This window comes from Homo sapiens, chromosome 4, assembly GCF_000001405.40.
Source record: "Homo sapiens chromosome 4, GRCh38.p14 Primary Assembly".
NCBI classification, from domain to species: Eukaryota; Metazoa; Chordata; class Mammalia; order Primates; family Hominidae; genus Homo; species Homo sapiens.
This window is the reverse complement of record NC_000004.12, coordinates 24580642-24600963: the sequence shown is the minus strand read 5'-3', so window position 1 is coordinate 24600963 and position 20322 is coordinate 24580642. Positions and strand designations below refer to the sequence as shown.

The 20322-nt window shown below is 43.5% G+C and overlaps 1 protein-coding gene and 1 long non-coding RNA gene across 4 annotated transcripts in view, besides 5 other annotated features; both read left to right on the top strand.

The window, feature by feature from the left end:
* Nucleotides 2127-3326: an enhancer, noted in NCBI's record as "CDK7 strongly-dependent group 2 enhancer chr4:24599261-24600460 (GRCh37/hg19 assembly coordinates)". NCBI's record gives its function as "activates an origin of replication core promoter dependent on BRD2, BRD4, P300/CBP, MED14 and CDK7 cofactors, with strong dependence on CDK7, by STARR-seq in HCT116 cells {active_cell/tissue: HCT116}" and the evidence as "EXISTENCE:reporter gene assay evidence [ECO:0000049][PMID:35650434]".
* On the top strand, nucleotides 7450-12377 carry LOC124900682 (uncharacterized). Its single transcript, XR_007058078.1, has 2 exons — nucleotides 7450-7970; nucleotides 11559-12377. It is a non-coding gene; the product is annotated as an uncharacterized LOC124900682 (long non-coding RNA).
* Nucleotides 15972-16511: an enhancer, noted in NCBI's record as "active region_21369". NCBI's record gives its function as "activates an Ori minimal core promoter by ATAC-STARR-seq in GM12878 lymphoblastoid cells {active_cell/tissue: GM12878}" and the evidence as "EXISTENCE:reporter gene assay evidence [ECO:0000049][PMID:35858748]".
* The window catches only part of DHX15 (DEAH-box helicase 15), a 57080-nt gene continuing 53167 nt past the window's right edge, over nucleotides 16410-20322 (top strand). For all 3 annotated transcript variants that reach the window (NM_001358.3, XM_047449698.1, XM_047449699.1), the window contains exon 1: nucleotides 16410-16641. In NM_001358.3, the coding sequence (NP_001349.2) occupies nucleotides 16571-16641 (71 nt within the window). In that variant the 5' untranslated portion in view covers nucleotides 16410-16570. The remainder of the gene's footprint in view (nucleotides 16642-20322) is intronic.
* Nucleotides 16692-16811: a silencer, noted in NCBI's record as "silent region_15318". NCBI's record gives its function as "represses an Ori minimal core promoter by ATAC-STARR-seq in GM12878 lymphoblastoid cells {active_cell/tissue: GM12878}" and the evidence as "EXISTENCE:reporter gene assay evidence [ECO:0000049][PMID:35858748]".
* Nucleotides 16822-16901: a silencer, noted in NCBI's record as "silent region_15317". NCBI's record gives its function as "represses an Ori minimal core promoter by ATAC-STARR-seq in GM12878 lymphoblastoid cells {active_cell/tissue: GM12878}" and the evidence as "EXISTENCE:reporter gene assay evidence [ECO:0000049][PMID:35858748]".
* Nucleotides 17102-17151: a silencer, noted in NCBI's record as "silent region_15316". NCBI's record gives its function as "represses an Ori minimal core promoter by ATAC-STARR-seq in GM12878 lymphoblastoid cells {active_cell/tissue: GM12878}" and the evidence as "EXISTENCE:reporter gene assay evidence [ECO:0000049][PMID:35858748]".

The window sequence follows — 20322 nt, the reverse complement described above, 5'->3', positions numbered from 1 at the left end:
AACTTAATATCAGACCAACAGAACAAATGAATTTTCACAAACAAATGCAAATAGGTCCTCTAACTTTGTAAAGTGGGTGTATTAATCAGGGTTCTCTAGAGGGACAGAACTCATGGAATATATAAACGGGAGTTTATTAAGTATTAACTCACACGATCACAAGATCCCACAATAGGCCGTCTGCAGGCTGAGGAGCAAGGAGAGCCAGTCCGAGTTCCAAAACTGAAGAACTTAAAGTCCAATGTTCAAGGGCAGGAAGGATCCAGCACAGGACAAAGATGTAGGCTGGGAGGCTAGGCCAGTTTCTCTTTTCACTTTTTTCTGCCTGCTTGTATTCTAGCCACGCTGGCAGCTGTTTAGATTGTGCCCACCCAGATTAAGGGTGGGTCTGCCTTTCCCAGCCCACTGACTCAAATGCTAATCTCCTTTGGCAACATCCTCATAGACACACACAGAATCAATACTTTGTATCGTTCAATCCAATCAAGTTGATACTCAGTATTAACCGTGACCGGGTATACAAAGGAGTCCTATTGTTTCCTCAACAGTACTGAAAAAAATGGCTACATGAGCTCTAATAGAGAAAACAATAGACCCCCAGCTTTCCATCAGGTTTTACTTAACCCTTTGAGCAGCTCCATTCCCAGCCTCTGTTGTTCCCCAGTAATAGAGAGACAGGGGGTCTTTGCATCCGGGAAGGTCCTTGGGAGACTCCCCAGGACAAACCGTACCTGGCAGCTGTTGGGAGTCTCCCGATGACTGTCGACTTAGAAGCCACTGGCCACTGAGCACAGATCCATCCCTGAGGAGTCACCAGAATTGTTCCTGGACAGAACAAGGTCTGGCTGCTCATTTCTGTGATCCAATAACAAGATGCAGACAGACTGGGAAAGAAGGGAGTTTATTTCTGCAACCGGTTACAGAGAGAAGGTCGAAGTAACTCACCATACCAACTCAAAGTTACAAGTTTTTTGCTAGTGCTGACATACATTTTAAGCTCCATGCTACATGTAGAATTGCATCTACAAGCAGGAGTGTTTCATTCACTCTATATCTAATCTTTAACTAGGGTCTAGGGTCTGGAAAGCTTTCTCTGGAGTCTTGGAAAGTTTCTTAATCAGTTTTTTTAAATTTATTTTTTATTTTTATTTTCTTGAGATGGCGTTATGCTCTTGTCTCTCAGACTAGAGTGCAATGGTGCGATCTCAGCTCACCGCAACCTCTGCCTCCCGGGTTCAAGTGATTCTCCTGCCTCAGCCTCTCAAGTAGCTGGGATTACAGGTACGTGCCACTGAGAGGTGACAACGTGCTAGCAGCCCTCACTTGCTCTCGGTGCCTCCTTGGCCTCGGCGTCCCTCCTGGCCGTGCTTGAGGAGCCTTTCAGCCCGCCACTGCACTGTGGTAGCCCCATTCTGGGCTTCGCCAAGGCCGGAGCCGGCTCCCTCTGCTTGGAGTAGGTGTGGAGGTAGAGGTGCGGGCGGGAACAGGGGCTGCGCACAGGGCTCGGAGGCCAGCGCGAGTTCCTGGTAGGTGCGGACTCGGCATGCCCCATACTTGGAGCAGCCAGCTGGCGTCGCTGGCCCCGGGCAGTGAGGGGCTAAGCACCTGGGCCAGTACCTGCGGAGGGTGTGCCAGGTACCCCAGCACTGCCAGCCCTCCCAAGCCACGCTTGAATTTTCACCAGGGCTCAGGACCTAGGCGAAGCCAGCTGGGCTCCTGGGACTTGGAGAACTTTTATGTCTAGCTGGAGGATTGTATTTGCACCAATCAGCACTCTGAGTCTAGCTTGGGGTTTGTGGATGCACCAATCACTACTCTGTATCTAGCAGGGACTTGGAGAACTTTTATGTCTAGCTAGAGGATTGTAAATGCACCAATCAGCACTCAGTGTCTAGCTCAGGGATTGTAAATGCACCAATCAGAACTCTGTCAAAAATGGACCAATCAGCTCTCTGTAAAACAGACCAATCAGCTCTCTGTGAAATGGACCAATCAGCAGGATGTGAGTGGTGGTGGGGGATTGGGGGTGGTCAGATAAGGGAATAAAAGCAGACTGCCCAAGCTAGCAGTGGCAAACCGGTTGGGTCCTTTTGCACTCCGTGGAAGCTTTGTTCTTTAGCCCTTTGCGATAAATCTTGCTGCTCCTCACTTTTTGGGTCCGTGCTGCCTTTATGAGCTGTAACACTCACTGCGAGGGGACGCAGCTTCACACCTGAAGCCAGCGAGACCACGAACCCACCAGAAGGAATGAACAACTGCTGACGGTCCACCTTTAAGAGCTGTAACACTTACCGCAAAGGTCTGCAGCTTCATTCCTGAAGTCAGCAAGACCATGAACCCACCGGAAGGAAGAAACTCCAGACACATCTGAACATCTGAAAGAACAAACTCTGGACACACCATCTTTAAGAGCTGTAATACTCACCCTGAAGGTCTGCGGCTTTATTCTTGAAGGCAGCGAGACCAAGAACCCACTCATTCCGGACACACCACAACACTTGGCTAATTTTTGTATTTTTGGTAGAGATGGGGTTTCTCTACTACAGCGGGGCTGGTCTTGAATTCCTGACCTCAGGTGATCTGCCTGCCCGCCTTGGCCTTCCAACGTGCTAGGACTACGGGTGTGAGCCACCACGCCCAGCTGAAAGTTTCTTAATCTTAAGTGAGCCCTGGTATGAGGTGTAGGTGTAAGAATGCTTTTATTGTTCGATCAGACTTTAGGGTTTGAGAAAACCCAGGCGGGATCTTAATGGGTTTGTTTTCTCATTCCAGCCCTCATACTCAGGCACCGGTTTCTCCAGTTCTCTAATGTTTAACTTATGACTTCATAATTATAGTAAAGGGTTAGTGGAAACTGTTCTGGTTGCTAATGGAAACCTGGCCTGCTACAATGGTGTCCCATAAGTCTCTTAGGATCTGTTTACTTTTCTTAAATTGTTTTTCTATTTCTCAGATTCAAAAATTTCCATTATTTTGCCTTCAAATTTGTTAATTCATTCTTCTACTTGCTCAAATCTCCCTTTGAATACTTCCAGTGAAGTTTTCATTTTAGTTACTGCGTTTTTCAGCTCCAGACTTTGTTTTAGGTTTCTTTTTAGCTCTTCTACCTTTTTATTGGTATTTCCGTTTTGACTTTCTTCATCTTTTTTTAGTTCTTTTGGCATCTTTAAGACAGTTTAGTAGATCCGCCATCAAGTCTGTTTCAGGGACAGTTTCTGTTTACTGTTTTTCCTTTGACTAGGCCATATTTTCCTGTTTCCTTATATGCTTTATGATTTTTTTTTGTCATTGAAAAGCAAACATTTGAATACAATAATGTGATAACTCTGGAAATAAGATTCTCCTTCTTCCCAAGGTTTGCTGGTTTTGTTATTGTTTTTCTTTATTTATTTTTAATTGTTGTAGTTTGTCTCTGGGCCAAGAGCCAGACTGACGTGTAAACTTAAGGTCTTCTCAGGTTTTTTTCTGGGCCTTACTCTGGTCATGTTTAGTCACTTTATAAGTTTTCCTATATGTGTTGTTTTTAATGTCATTGTTTTTTATCTCTGGGTCCAGAAAAGAGAAAAAGAAAAAATGAAGCAGGGAGCGAAAGGTGCTGGCTTTTTAAATCCCGCAAAGTCACTTGAGCTGGAGGAGTTTGCAACAACTGAGGGTAGGTGCAACAATAATGGCCACTCACCCCTTTGTATCTCTCTGATCTTTTGTGTTCAGAAGTGACATTCAGGGCCAGGCGTGGTGGCTGACGCATGTAATCCTGGCACTTTCTAGACGTATCACTTGAGGCCAGCAGTTCAAGACCAGCCTGGGCCAACATGGTGAAACCCCATCTCTACTAAAAATACAAAAATCAGCCAGGTGTGGTGGCAGGTGCCTGTAATCCCAGGTACTCGGGAGGCTGAGGCAGGAGAATTGCTTGAACCCAGGAGGCAGAGGCTGCAGTGAGTTGAGATTGCACCAATGCACTCCAGCCTGGATGAGAGAGTGAGACTCTGTAAAAAAAAAAAAAAAATTCAGCGATCAAGCACAGAGTACTAATATTTGAAGGACAGAGTCCTTTTTGCTCAACCCCCCAAAATGTTTGTAAGCTGCTTCAGGAACCTATGCACTGCTGCCTGCCTTGTAGATGTGTGGTGAGGGATGGGTAGTTGCTACTATGCTAAGTGCTGAAATTGACAGAAATTAACCACAACTTATATTCCAAACCTTCCTCTAGAAGTTGCAAGCCTTCTATAGACTCCAGAAGGAGTTAAGTAAGACAGATTCTGCCAGTATTACCTGCATGGAGAGACAGATTATTCCTGCTTCCTGCTCCACCATTTTCCCCAACCTGACCTCCTAGAGTTTTCAATATCTATTTTAACCTAATCTATGTCCATCCTCAAATAACATTATACTGCTCCAGGTGTAGTGTAGGTAACTTACAACAGAATAACTCCACTTCCTCCCATCCCTCATTACATTGGTGCCATTCATTTCACTTGTCTCTATGCTCTAATCTCCCAAGACATTGTTACTCTTACTTTAAACAGTTATCTGTCAGATCAATTAAGAATGAAAAAAATAAAAGATTTTATTTTACCTTCATTTATTCCTTCAATGCTCTCCCTTTATGTAGGTCTAAGTTTCTGACTTAAATAATTTCTTTTTCCTTGAAGAACTTATTTTAATATTTTTTGCATGCAGTTCTGCTTGCCATGAATTCTCTCATTTTTTGTTGACTAAAAATTTACTTCTCTTTCACTTTTAAAGGATAATTTTTCTGTACCTAAAATTATAGCTTGATGCATTTTAAATAGTTTACTCCATTCTTTTCTTGCTTGGTTGGTTTCTTTTTTTTTTTTCTTTTCTTTTCTTTCTTTTTTTTTTTTTTTCCAGATAGAAACTGGGTCTTGCTATGTTGCCCAAGCTGCTCTTGAACTACCGTGGAGGGCCCAAGTGGTCCCCAACCCTCGGCCTCCAAAAGTGCTGGAATTATAGGCATGAGTCACTATGCCTGGCAGTTTTCTGATGAGAAGTCCACTGTGATTATTATCATTGTTTCTATGTAGGTAAAAAAAATTTTTCTTTCACTTCTTTAAATATTTTCTCTTTATCTTTGCTTTGTTGCAGTTTGAGTATGATATGCCTAGTTGTATGCATATCCTGTTTGCATATCCTGTTGCATAGTTGTATGCAAATATCCTTTTGGTATTTATCCTGTTTGATCCATCCTCAGCTTCCTGGATTGTGGTTGTATGTCTGTCATTAATTTTGAAAATTTTTTTACCATTATTATTTCAAATATTTCTTCTGATCTTTTTTGTCTGTCTTCTTCTTCTGGTACGAATTACACATAGTTACACTTTTGAAATGTCCCAAAGTTCTTGTATGTTCTGTTCTGGTCTCAATTATTTTTTCTGTTTGCATATCAGTTTGGGAAGTTTCTGTTGAACTATTTTCAAGCTCATGGTTTCTTTCCTTGGTCATGTCCAATCTATTAATGAGCCCATCACAGGCAATCTTCATTTATGTTATAATATTTTTTATTCCTAGGATTTCTTTTTTATTTTTTCATCTATCTTATATTACCTATTTGCTCTTGCATGCTGTCTACTTTTTTCATCAGAGTCCTTTACACATTAATCATAGTTATTTTAAATTTCCTGTCTGATAACTCCAAAATCTATGTCGTATCTCAGCCTGATTCGAATGCTTGCTTTGTCTCTTCAGACTATGTTTTCTCTTGTCTTTTAGTATGCCTTGCAATTTTCTGTTGAAATCTACTGTGATGCATTGGGTAATAGGAACCGAAGTAAATAGGCATTTAGTGTGAGGTTTTATGTTAATCTGGCTAGAAGTTGAACTGTGTTTAATGTTTGCTATAGCTAGAGGGGCTAGAGGTTTCAAATTCCATTAGTGTTCTCTAGTCTCCCCTGTTGACTTTGGGATTCTCTAAGAATGAAGCATTAGTTAGAGTCTGTGTCTTGGACCTTTTCCAGCTGTAATCCACTGCTGTTATACTAGAGTTATGTTGGTGTGGTAGAAAGGAGTGGGAAGGGAAAGTGTTTTGTAATTTTTTTTTTTTTTTTTGAGACAGGGTCTCACTGTCACCCAGGCTGGAGTGCCGCGGTGCAATCTCAGCTGACTGCATCCTCTGCATCCCAGGCTTAAGCAATTCTCCTGCCTCAGTGCTCACACCCACCCCTGCTTCTCTGCTGAGTAGCTGGAACTATAGGCGCCTGCCACCATGCTGGCTAATTTTTGTATTTTTCATAGAGATAGGGTTTCACCATGTTGCCCAGGCTGCTCTTGAACTCCTGGGCTCAAGTGATCTGCCCACCTTGGCTTTCCAAAGTGCTGGAATTACAGGTGTGAGGCACTGTGCCTGGCCTCTTTTGTAATCCTGTAATTAAATCTTAGTCTTTTAATAGGCCTATGTCCCTGAGCTGTGACCTTCATGAATGTTTGTTAGCTTTTTAAAATTTCCTTAGGTAGACAATAAGGCTAGTGGGCTGGGTGCAGGTGAAATGCCCATTTCCAAGTTGGGATAAGGCTCCCATAAAGTCTTTTCCCTGAAAAGTAGGACTTCTATATGGACAATGTTCTGGGCATGCTTTACAATGGTTACTCTTCTCTTTCTCTGCCTGAGCCACGGGGACATCTTTCTTAGCTTTTCATTGTGCAAACTGAGTGGGTTTCTGGAGGAAAACCCATTAAAGTCTGGGGGTCTCCCTAACATCAAAATACCCAGGAGTTTCTCATCATCGACAGTTCATACTCAGACTCTAGAAATTTGTCAAAGTAACCACTTAAGTGTTTCTACCAATTTATGGTTCTGGTTGCTTCTGCTCAAAGTAAGCAGACCTCTGCTGTGACTCTTTGAACTTGCACATCTCTTCAGATTTCAGCATGGCAATTTACCCTGCAACCTGGTTCTCTAATGGCTCTAAGAAAAGCCATTGGTTTTCAGTTTGTTCAGCTATTCTTCTTGTAAGAAAGGGAGCAGTAACTTCCAAGCTCTTTACACGCCAGAGCTGAAACTGATAATTCCACCCTGGGCTGTTTTTTGTTTAGTATCTTGGCTGAGTTTTCAGGGGATGGGAAGTGTGTGCAACTTCCTAAACTTCCACTTGGAATTCCCCAGTATGATAGCTCTTACCCCTTACAGATCCAGAATTTAATATGGGGGTCGCACAAACTACTAATGATGTTTATTCTATGTGTATGTTTGTATACTGGGGGCATAGCAAGTAGTTTGAGAACGCTGTAGACTTACCATGAGCTGGACCTGGGCCAGACATCCAGTCTCGATTTCCATATATCTCCATGCTAAGAAAGGGCCAATAATGAAACTCTGAGTCTCTTGGTATCAATGTCATTTTACACACTGTGTCCATGATGTCCTTGAAATCGTTAGATATTCCCTTTTCTCCAGTGTATGGCCACCTAAGTAAATGGCTATAGATCACTTGAGGGAAGGACTTGGGGAATTATTACTGTGTACACTTGTGCTGGTGCTGCAGAGTTCTTTCTTCTAGGGACATGCCCTCTCCCTCCAATTAAATATATTCTAGGTCCAAAAACTGGTTCAAGTCCAGAAACTGGGCAAGTGATCATGACTTTGTATCAGAGCATCAGCCTTTAACCTCTTGATCATCCATTGTTGGCTTAATTTGGTTGTTCAGATTGAAGACTTTCTTTGATGGTTGCCCATTTCTTTTGCTCCAGATGGCTTATTTGTCATCTCCAAAACATCTGTGGGTAAAGCCCCCTGGACTGCCGCTCTTGCCTTGCAGTGTCCATTTGGCTGTTGAAGTTTGAGTGCCATCATGTCACTTCAGTGTTACAAGGTTCCATCATCTCTACTGTTCTCAGTGAACCCAGTTCTGAAATGGTATCTTCTGTCTTCACCCTGGACTACAGGGAGAACCACTGCTGAGTCTTAGAGTGATGCTGATTCCTCTCTAACCAGATAATGCCTTATTGATTTGGTAAGTGGTGTATACTCTGAACTTTCCTTTGAAATATATTCATCTGTTGGGTTTTCCATTTTTATATAAGTATATTCACTCTAGCAAGCTCACTTCTTTGAGCCATTTAGTCCCTCCTTACAATGTAAACCAAAGCAGTTTTGGCATCTCTATGTAACCAGGTGTACTGTGAGCCATTGATTTCTCTGTGCTTCTAGATGACATCCTAAGTGTGTTCACACTATCACCCAGGATCCTTGCATGAGTGTTAAATCTTGTATGCTAGGAGAGTATTACCAACTTGATAAATTCTCCCTTATCTAACTGTATGCTCCACCTCCCCACCCTGACATTCATAACCTTCAGAATTCGGTCCTTGGCCAGACGTGGTGGCTCACGCCTGTAATCTCAGCACTTTGGGAGGCTGAGGCGGGCAGATCACCTGAGGTTGGGAGTTCAAGACCAGCCTGACCAACATGGAGAAACCCCATCTCTACTAAAAATACAAAATTAGCTGGGCGTGGTGGCACATGCCTGTAATCCCAGCTACTCAGGAGGCTGAGGCAGGAGAATCACTTGAATCCAGGAGGTGGAGGTTGCAGTGAGCCAAGATCACGCCATTGCACTCCAGTCTGGGCAACAAGAGCGAAACTCTGTCTCAAAAAAAAAAAAAAAAAAAAGAATTTGGTCCTGTGCCAACTCCTCTGGTTCCTGCTGGTACCTGTTGGCTGGGTCCTACAGCTTCTTTGAGTAGGATTGTATGCCAATATTATGTGTCCTCTGATGTATTAGTCTGTTCCCACGCTGCTAATAAAGACATACCCAAGACTTGGTAATTTATAAAGGAAAGAGGTTTAATGGACTCACAGTTCCACATGGCTGGGGAGGCCTCACAATCATGGCAGAAGGCAAAGGAGGAGCAAAGGCACATCTTACATGGTGGCAGGCAAGAGAGCATGTGCAGGGGACTCCCCTTTATAAAACCATCAGATCTCCTGAGACTTACTCACTATCAGTAGAACAGAATGGGAAAGACTCATCCCCATGATTCAATTACCCCCCGACCAGGTTTCTCCCAAGACACATGGAAATTATGGGAACACCAATTCAAGATGAGATTTGGGTTAGGACACAGCCACACCGTATCAGATGTTCTTGGAATATCATATGTAGTGATATGACCTTGTATCATGTGATACTTATATCATATACTTTTTTCTGCCTTCCCACTGTAAGAAATGGCAGTCAAAGGAACTTTACTTACAGAAGTTTTGGAGACAATAAATTAAATAAGGCATCTGGAGGAAAATAAATGGACAAACGTCAAAGGAAGTTCTCAATCTGAACAACCAAATTAAGCCAAAGATGGATGCTTATGATATACTTATATCATATGTAGTGATGTCCCTGGAATATCATATGCAGTGACTTCCTGGTTTATGTATCCTGAAAAGGGTGGTAGACGTTATTCTGCAGAGAGGAAACCTCTGCATCATTTTACAAGAGAGGAACACGAGCTTTTAATACAGAAAAGTAGAGTACTTTGGCAGACTCAGTGGGTTGAGGGGAATCTAGGGATTCAAAATTTTTCAAGTACATCAACCCAGATGTCCCCACCCATGTGTCAGAGTCCCACTATTTCCCATCCAGGGTCCTAACCTTGGTATATCACAATTGCCTAAGTGGAGAGTTTAATCTTCTTTGGAAGTTTCCACTTAATTTTCTGCTACTATTATGTTTAAGTCCTGGAACTGCCTTTCAGTTTTCTCTGCCTTTCCACTGCAAGAAATGAAAACCTTTTTATATGCTCCCTCATAGGATTTCTGGTTTTCATGCTTAGTTTTGAATTGCAGATAAATAACTTCCAGCCTTTCATTATCTCTCCCCAAAATATTAATTCTACTTAGCAATAGCCATCAAATTCTAGGGAGCTTATAGTTACCAGTTCCCCCATATGTGAGAACTGCATGCCTTTTGCAGTACACCACATGCTTTTTTCCCAGTAAGCTACAGGTGAAAGTTTTAACAATTGCCCTGCTTCCTTGTGTCCTACCTCCACCACAGATTCATTGCCAGCCAGCAATGGGTGACCAACTCCAAAATCCAATCATAATGTCTGCTTTCTTTCTGGCACCACTTCTGGCACCAAATCTTTTAGGTCGGCTTCCATGAAAACTAGACTCTGAGGCAAAGATTAGCATTTAGAATGTTTATTAAGAAGTACATTTAGGATCAATATCAGTGGAAAGAAAAGATAAAAGTAGAATCAGATAAGGAAAAGTTGACTGTGATGCTGTTGCATGACAATGAATTTGACTGGCCTTTATCCCTGGTTCACGGGATTGGTTCATTTTAAATCCTTGGGGTCTCCCAAGTCATAAGAGTATCTTTGTTGCTCTCTTTAGTGAATATGCAGTGACTTCCTGGTTTGTGTATCCTGGTTTATATATTCCCTTTATTCTCTTTATGTATTCCCTTTATTCTCTTTAGGTTTATGTATTCCCTTTATTCCCTAAAGAGTTACTCTCTTTATGTTGGGCCCTTGGACGACATCTGAATTAGTGCTAAGGAGATAACTCAGGATGGGAACTGGTCATCCCAGAAAGACCAACCATGTGATTAAAGGGTTGAAGCTTTGAGCCACATGTTATCAGCCCAATCTCTTGACCTTTAAGCAGGGAAAGGAGGCTGGAAATTGAGTTGAATCATGGAGCCAATGATTCAGTCAATCAATCATGGCTACATAATGAAACCCCAATAAAAACTGCAGACACTGAAGCTCAGTGGAACATCCTAGTTTGTAAGGACATGGATGTGAGGGAGGGTCACATGTTCTAATTCCATGGGGAGAGGACACAGACGCTCTGATTTGTTTCCTTTATAATAAAACAGCAACCATAAGTATAGTGCTTTCCTGAGTTTTATAAGTTATTCTAGTAAATTATCAAATATGATGGAATTGTGAGAAACTCTGAATTTGTAGCCAGTTGGGCCGGAGTGCTGGTGGCCTGCAGACCCCTGAACTTATGGATGGTGTCTGGAGTGGGGACATCTTCAGTCTTGCTTGGGACTGTGGCCTTAACTTGTGGGATTGGAGGTAACTCTGGATTGTTACTGGCCAAATTGCATTGGGGTACATCAGATGCCATTATAACAAAGACTTCAGCTGATCCCACAGAGGGTTCAGATGCTCTGAAGCTCACAGTTGTCCTAAGTTGGTAGACAGGCCAAGCCTTTATACCTGTAGAATGTATTCAGGCTGCCCCTGGGCATGGCAGCTTTCTTTAGCCATGGAAGTTTCTGAAGAGGGCTGACACGAGGATCGTGTGCAGGTGGCAAGCACTCCCAGAGCTGAGGGATGTCTCATTATGAAAGTGAGATTTTGATGGCAAGCCATAGCACCACTATAGTTTGTAACTATTTCTGTCTCTTACTAGAGAGAGGATAAGGTGATTAAAAATAGTACTGAAAATTCTTTCAAATTTGTAAGCATTTTGTTGCTAAAGAGGATTCAAAGAGGGAGACTGGTGGATTGATCCTGGCAAATCCTCATGAGTGATCATGTTGTTTTCCCACTTAAATCTCATTTCTGTTTTCCTCTTGTTTTAGGAAGGATAAAGGCTTACCTCCTCAGCAGGACTCCTCAGATGGGGCATGATATGCCCTGTTCTTGCATCTGCAGGATCACAGATGACAAATTCCTCATCTCAACACATCCATGTTGTTTTCTCTGTCTGTGGGTCGCACCTGACTTTTTAAAGCTTCAGGGCCTTTGCACAGGCTGTTTCCTCTGCTTGGAATGCTTTCTGCCCTCTCTGCCTGGACAATTTGCATTCTTTTTTTTTTTTTTTTTGAGATGGAGTTTTGCTCCTGTTGCCCAGGCTGGAGGGCAATGATGTGACCTTGGCTCACCGCAACCTCCGCCTCCTGGGTTCAAGCAATTCTCCCACCTTAGCCTCCCGAGTAGCTGGGATTACAGGTATGCACCACTATGCCCGGCTAATTTTGTATTTTTAGTAGAGATGGGGTTTCTCCATGTTGGTCAGGCTGGTCTTGAACTCCTGACCTCAGGTGATCTGCCTGCCTTGGCCTCCCAAAGTGCTGGGATTGCATTTATTTTTAAGGTTTTTGTCTAAATGTTTCTTTCTCAGAGAGGCATTCCCTAACCCTCAATGTAGATCAAGGCCACTTGTTATATGCTCTCACAATGCCTGTCGTCTGTAGCTGGCCTTTTCAGCACTTATCATCGTGATAACAACATAGTTATTTATGTGTTTAGCTGTTCAGTGCCTGTCTCTCTCCCTCTGCCACGTTTTATGAAGGCAAGAACTATGGCTATTTTCTTCTTTCCTCTTTCCCCAGCACTTAATGCCTGACATGGGAGCTTAATACATATTTGTTGATTGAATAAATAAATGGTAATAGTGATACTGTACAATGGTCAATAGTGCGGCTCTAGAGTTGGACTGGGTTCAAATAATCCAAATCCCCACTTGTCCACTGAGAGTTCTGTAAACTAGTTCTCTACATGGACAATGCAGAAGTTTTATCAGTTCATGTTCATCTTGTCAGACTGGGAGAACTTATCTTCAGTAACCACACCTTAGACGAATAAAGTGGAACGAGAATATCTATTTATCAGCCGCAGCAGAACATAGCAATTAAGCACACACACTGTCTGGGCTGAATCTCAGAACTGTCATCTTGGCCAAAATACTTGCCTCTTTGAGTAACAGTTTCCTCAGCTGTAAATAAGAGTAATTCATTGGACTAAACTTGAAGTTGCTGTAAGTCTCAAATAGGCTCAAATGTGTAAGGAACAGCATCTGGCTCATAGTGCTTTGTATGTGTTTGCTATTAGCAATTATTTTTTATTAATTTAGGTTGACTTGAGACCCTGCAGCTGGTTAGCTGCATAAGACATTTCCTCCAGGTGAGAAAGTCCATGTCATAGGCCAGAGGGTTGTCTAGTAGAGAAAGAGTAACAGTAAGGGAAAATAGGATATTATCTGGAAATATTTCCAGCCAAGTTTGTGGAGGGCCTGGTGGGTGCCTTTTCTCTACTCCAGGGATAATGATGTCTGAAAATCCAGGGTGGATCATTTAGACCTAGAATTCTACCCTTCTTCCCAAGGAGTGTGCACATCCTGGCAGCCTCTGGCCACTTGTTCCCCTTATTCTAGATTCCAGAGAGGTCACTATCCTTCAATAAGTAGGGCCTTTCTCTTTCCTCCTTTCCTTCTTTTCTTCCTTTCTTCTTTCCTTCCTTTCTTCCTTTCTTTCTTTCCTTCTTTCCTTCCTTTCTGTCTTTCTCTCTTTCTTTCTTTCTGATGGCGTCTTGCTCTGTTGCCCAGGCTGGAGTGCAGTGGCACAATCTTGGCTCACTGCGACCTCAACCTCCCGGGTTCAAGTGATTCTCCTGCCTCAGCCTCCTGAGTAGCTGGGATTACAGGCATGTGCCACTATGCCTGGCTCATTTTTGTATTTTTAGTAGAGACGGGGTTTCACCATGTTGGTCAGCCTGGTCTCGAACTCCTGACCTCATGATCCACCTGCCTCGGCCTCCCAAAGTGCTGGAATTACAGGTGTGAACCACCACGCCTGCCCAGGGCCTTTCTTTAATTGTTCAGGTCACAACACAACTGATGAGGTTATGGTTTTCTTTAGCTGTAACCTAGGCCCAAGGGAAAAGTCTCATCACCTTGATTTCAGTTCCTCTTTCATCATTTATGAGAGGCTGACATCTGAGTGGAGCACTTCTGCAGGTAGAATTCTAACTTTTTTCCCTGATTATTTCTCCAAAATTTTAGAGCACTTTATAGCAGTCATCAAACTGGAAACCTGAAGACTGAGATTTTAATACTTCAAGTGAAATCTGTATTTTATTCTGACTTTGATACCAACTGATTGTGTGAACTTCAATAAGACCTAGGGGTTCAGTTTCCCTCATTTGTAAAATTAAGCAAAAAGAGAAAAATCAGATGGAATCCAGTGATTATACATCATGATCTGAAAAAAGTCAACACAATTGTCCCTCAGTATCCACTAGGGATTGGTTCCAGGAGAAACTGCCGACACTAAAGTCCGTGGAGGTTCAAGTGTCTGATATAAAATAGTACAGTATTTGCATATAACCTATGCACATTCTTCTGTATACTTAATCATCACTAGATCACTTATAATACCTAATACAATGTAATTGCTATGGAAATAGCTGTTATACTGTATTGTTTAAGAAATAAGAGCAAGAAAAAGTCTGTACATGTTCAATACAGATGCAACCATCCATTTTTAAAGAAAAATATATTTTTGATTTGCAGTTGATTGAATCCAGGGATAAGGAACCCACAGATAATAGAAGGCCAACTCATCATTTTAATTTCAGTTTTTTCCTATACATATGTAATTATGATAAAGTGTAACTTATAAATTAGGCACAGTAAGATATTAACAACTAATAATAAAACATTTATAACAACATACAGACAGTCTTGACTTACAATTGTTTGACCAGATTTTTTGACTTCACGATGGGTTTATCGGTATATTAACTGCATGTTCAACTTACAACATTTTCAGTTTACGATGGCTTTGCGATGGCCATCACCCCATCATAAGTCAAGGAGAATCTATACTGTAATAGAAGCTATGTGAATGTGGTCTTTCTCTCAGAATATCTTACTGTACTGTGAAAGCAAAACCAGGGACAAAGTAGGGACTATGGTACATTTAGGATAGAAAGTTGTACTGAATATTTCACAAGTGAAAAATATACTCATTTTTCTTTGTGTTGACTTTCCAATGTGGATTTGGTACAAAAAAATAAAAACCCTCCTTACCAATTGCTGGCTGGGTGCAGTGGCTCACGCCTGTAATCCCAGCACTTTGGGAGGCCGAGGTGGGCAGATCACTTGAGGTCCGGAGTTCAAGACCAGCCTGGCCAGCATGGCGACACCTCGTCTCTACGTCTCTACTAAAAATACCAAAATTAGCCGGGCGCGTAGCCGGGCGTGGTGGCGGGCGCTTATAATCCCAGCTAGGAGGGAGGCTGAGGCAGGAGAATGGCTTAAACCCGGGAGGCGGAGGTTGCAGTGAGCTGAGATTGCACCACTGTCCTCCAGCCTGGGCGACAGAGCAAGACTGTCTCAAAACAAACACACAAACCCCTCATCAGTTGCAATATTTAAGTTGCATTTAATCCTAGCAATTGCAGTCCTGAGATTTGGATAAGAACCAGAGTATGGTCTTCCAGGGCAGCCAAACCAAGCCATTCCATGAACAACAGAGATCACCCTGCTGCAGATGGTCCACAGATCTTTTCTTGTGCATTTCTTCTGGGAACAAATGCAACTGAGGAAGCAGACATATTCTAGGGGGAGAGATCCACAAAAATCCTTAGAGTCATCTTGCCCCACCTCCTTGTTATGGCTTTAGGTACAGCCCTTATGGCTAGGAGATGTAACCTTCCTCAGCCTTTGCGTCTACGTCTACAAAATAACAACTACCTTGCAGGGTGTTATTTAACACTGCGAAAGTGCATTAATAGGCACAGAAAAACAAAAAACAAAAAAGCAAATTGTGCCCTCACTGCGAATTCTCTGTATTCTAGTTAAAAACATCTATAGCTTGGGTGCATGGTGTCCGTGCTGGGCAAGAAAAGGGCAAAATAGATCATGACAAGCCTTAACATTTTCTCACTTCAGTTTCCTCACTGCAATTGATTTTTTTTTTTCTTTCAAGTCGGAGTCTTGTTCTGTCGTCCAGGCTGGAGTGCACTGGTGTGATCTCGTCTCACCGCAACCTCCGCCTCCCAGGTTCAAGCGATTCTCCTGCCTCAGCCTACCGAGTAGCTGGGATTACAGGCGTACGCCACCACGCCCAGCTAATTTTTGTATTTTTAGTAGAGACGGGGTTTCACCGTGTTGGCCAGGCTGGTCTCGAACTCCTGACCTCGTGATCCACCCGCCTCGGTCTCCCAAAGCGTTGGGATTACAGGCGTGAACCATCGCGCGGCCCCTCACTGCAACTGAGGGTAGCGCAGTGGCCGCAAGTTCCAGATCTGGAGTTACTAAATAGCTGGGTTCCAATCCCGGCTCTGCCACTTATTAGCTGTACGATCTTCATTCGTTTCTCAACCTCTCTGGGTCTGAGATTCCCTTAAAGCCGGGGTAATAGAAATGAATAGGATTTCCTAACTAGGACTAGACTTTCTCAATTTCTTGACTCAGAGGGGCAAGGATAGCCTGAAATGGAAAGTGAAGGCCTTCAGGTTCTTCCTAACAGCCGCTCCGAGGAGGGGAAAGCTACAGGAAGAGGGAGGAGACCCAAGAAAGGTCGGACCAATGAGGCAGCGGGCGGGACAGGAGTTCCCGCCTTTGGGCGTCGTGCGCGCGCACCTCGCTCACACGCACACTCGCACGCACGCACGCTGCGGAAGCGCGCGCGCGCGCAGGCCCAGCCCTCGTCGCCGCCGCCATTTTAGCTGTTGGTTCCGGCCGCACCGTGTGGGCTGTAGTAGCGGGAGGGGTGGGGGTCCTCCAGAGTTAAGTGGCTGTCCTCGACTGTGCCCATACAGCAGCCAGCTTTCTTCCTTAATAACTGCCCGTTCGAAGAGTGCGAGGATGTCCAAGCGGCACCGGTTGGACCTAGGGGAGGATTACCCCTCTGGCAAGAAGCGTGCGGGGACCGATGGGTAAGCCAGGCCGGGGGCGCGAGGCGGCAGCTCGGGCTTTGTTGGGGTCCTGGCAGGGAGCGGGCCGGGGCTGGCCTGGCCGAGCGGGTCCTGGAGCCCGAGCCTTTGTTTCTCTCTGGGCTGGGTTCACTAGCGGCGGGTAGGAGAAGCGCGGCGCCCGTTCGGCCCGGCAAGGGCGCGGGGGGTTGCGTGCGACGGGGCCGCTGCCCAGCCCAGTCCGGAGGGTGGAGAGGCCTGCAGTAGCCATGAGGGCGCCTCCTCCCCCAGGCCGAACCGAGCGGGAGTCATTTGCGAGGGCGTCGGGCGGGAGTGAACCGCGGACCTCGTGGCCTCGGTTCCCGAGGAAGGCCTGGAGCCGGAGGAGAGGGTGGGGGAGGGCGCGGTGGGAGTATTCGCTTCCAAGGGCAGCAGGCACTTCCCAGCCAGAGGGGCCGTGGGGAGGGCCTGGGTGGGGGCGCGGCCAGGCACTCCAGACGGGAAAGGCGGAGGGCGGAAAGTGAGAGCAGCGCGTGGATCATAATGTAGGCTGGGATGGGGGTGGCGGGAGTTGAGAGAAGCCAGCAAATAGGGAGTTCTCGGGGGAGGTGGGAGTAGAGGACCTGCCGGGAGAAAGGAAAACGTGGAGTAATATACCTGATGGGCTGGAAGGCTGGTGTTTTGGGGCGACTGAGTTTATAGTTTGGCGGGAGAGAGCGTGCCTTGGTCCATTCAAACACTTCAAAGTAGATACTAGCAAACTTCCGCTCTCTGCCTACGCTCCCGCCATCTCCTGTATTTCCTGCTTTGGTTAAAACTGGTTACTGAACATCGTCCCATGGGGAGGGATTAGAAGGCATTGTTTTTTTTTTTCATCATTTATTTTCTATGCATGTCCCACTTTTCTTCATAAGTAGCTTTTGAAATACAGGGATCATGTTCAAAACGTGTTTTTAGTATTTATGGCGAAACACCGCCCATGTGGAGGTTGAGAGTTGAAATACTTACACAAACTCTTGGTGTTCCAGATTCCTTTCCTTAAAGGTACAGAGGAATTTAGCAGTTAATTTAAGCAATTTCGTGAAAATCATTTCTTGTCCCTTGTGTGTTTTCATTGATGAAGTACAAAGACCTGTTTGGATAATTCAGGCAAAACCCACAAAAGCCCGAGTAGCCAAATACTTTGCATAATTGTATCATTTTATTGTGTACTTGTGATACAGAATCACTGTGTCAAGTCACCTGTATAGCTGTTTTGAATTTTTCAGCTAAAGTTCTTCATTGAAATTGATTTCCAGGGATATGTTTAGTGTCATTGTAGAGTATAAGCCAGGATAGGGTGTACTTTTTGAGGCTTTGCCATATGTTGAATTATTCAATAGAAAGCAAAAGCATGTCACATTTTAATTTTGTGAGTTATTTAGTTTACGATATTAGGCATTGTAAAAAAGACAATGACATTGTAAGACAGACTCTCTTTAGGCTATCACCCTCCCCCACCATTACGCCCCACAAAACGTTAATACCTCTGAGCTGTATGTCACAGACTCAGAGCTGGAAGCAACTTAAAAAAGACTATACGCGGCTCCAATCAAGGAATGAGAAGTGGAGAACAGAGTTAAGGTGGCTTGTGCAAGTTTACAGCAGGATCTGGAACCCTGCCTTTGTCATTTTCACTCAGCAGCACACAGTTCAGTACTGTAGTTAAGAGTCATTACAGCCTATTTTAATGACATTTATAATGCGTTGGTAAAGTAGGGAACACTTAGTTCTTGATTTCTCTAAGGCAAAAATAAATTGCTGTCATCTGGAACTGATGTCTCTCACAGGAGGTCAGATTGGAACAAAATATTCTGGGAGGGAATGAATGAATTCATTTGTATTTGTGCATATGTGCACCATTTAAAATGTTCCCCTTGGGATTAGTGGTCCCACCATATGTATGTGCGATTGTTTACTTTCTCTTGCAAAAACAGATATCCTTAGTAAAAAGGTTGACTTTTGGAGTCTAATGGTAGCTTTATGATTCCCTTGTATATTATTTAGAATTTGCCTATGGATAAAGGAGAGTTCATCTTTGGAATAATGCCCAAGTTATAAGAAATAGTAGAGGGAAGTTTTTATACTCATTTCTATGTCATTTGAGTGCCATTTATCCTTGAACTGGTTTTATTTAACAGTGGACTTAAGGTGTTTATCGGCCTCAGAATTTTTTCATACTCGATAATTTTAAGTCACTTGTTGACTGCCATGCAATCCTGCAGATTTTTTTTTTCCCTGATAAGCAAGTGGTTTTATTGGAGAGCATAAGCTTGTCAGTCTTACAAACTCCACTGCCAGATAGGGTTTCTGCAGTACTGAGAAGGGAAGGTAATTCAGTGGGAGATTTCACTTATATTAATGCTCCCAAACTATATAAGGCTTTATTTACTCCTGGCATATTTTAACTTTGAAATCAGGTGAAGTTATTATAGGTTTCTGTTGCATATTCTGGCCTCATTTCTTCTTTTTGTCAACCCACAGAATCTTCACTATACAATTACCGAAAGTAATAATTTTCCATACTTACTGTTGAAGTATGGAAAAAAGTTTTCGATGTTAGGGGCGTTTTTCATTTTGATGTTGGTTTTTGATATTACCACCTGATAAGAGTTTTTTCTGTTAATTATGGGAAAGTAAAGCTAATGTATTAATACTGTGATAACATTTGTGGAGCATGCACATTTTCACTACAATCCTGTATGGTAGATGAGGTTAAATGAACTTGCCACAGGGAACATAAGAAATGTTTATACTCAAAGGTTTAAAGAAGGCATTCCCTAAAATCTTCATCTCCATCTTTGGATAACAGTTTTTGGTGAACATTTTCTAAGATCTCTGCATATTGACTCAAAAATATGAACTATAAAATTTAATATCAGTGGGATCAACGCGTGTTATTTTGTACTTTGATTTTTTTTTCCACTCAGAAATGTCATTAACTGTAGGTACACATTACGCTTTTAAATTGGCTGCCATAGGCCGGGCGCAATGGCTCACGCCTGTAATCCCAGCACTTTGGGAGGCCGAGGCGGGTGGATCACGAGGTCAGGAGATCAAGACCATCCTGGCTAACACGGTGAAACCCTGTCTCTACTAAAAATACAAAAAATTAGCCGGGTGTGGTGGCGGGCACCTGTAGTCCCAGCTACTCTGGGAGGCTGAGGAAGAATGGTATGAACCCGGGAGGCGGAGCTTGCAGTGAGCCGAGATTGTGCCACTGCACTCCAGCCTGGGCAACAGAGCGAGCCTCCATCTCAAAAAAAAAAAAATAATAAAAAATAAATAGATTGACTGCCATAGTACTCCAGTTGTAAAGGTATGACATCACTTATTTAACCAATATCCTGTTCATTGATATTTAGGTAGTTTTCCACTTGTTGCTATTTTATAAATGAGAAGTTTGATGAACATCCTTATACATACGTATTTGCACACATCCTTGAGAGGTTCCTGGAAATAAGATTGACGGATAAAAAGCAGTGCTTATTGCCGGGTGTGATGGCTCACACCTGTAATCACAGCACTTTGGGAGGCCTAGGCGAATGGATCACCTGAGGTCAGGAGTTCAAGACCAGCCTGGCCAAGGTAATAAAACCTATTTTTGTCTCTGTTAAAAATACAAAAATACACTGGGCATGGTGGCGCACTGCTGTAATCCCAGCT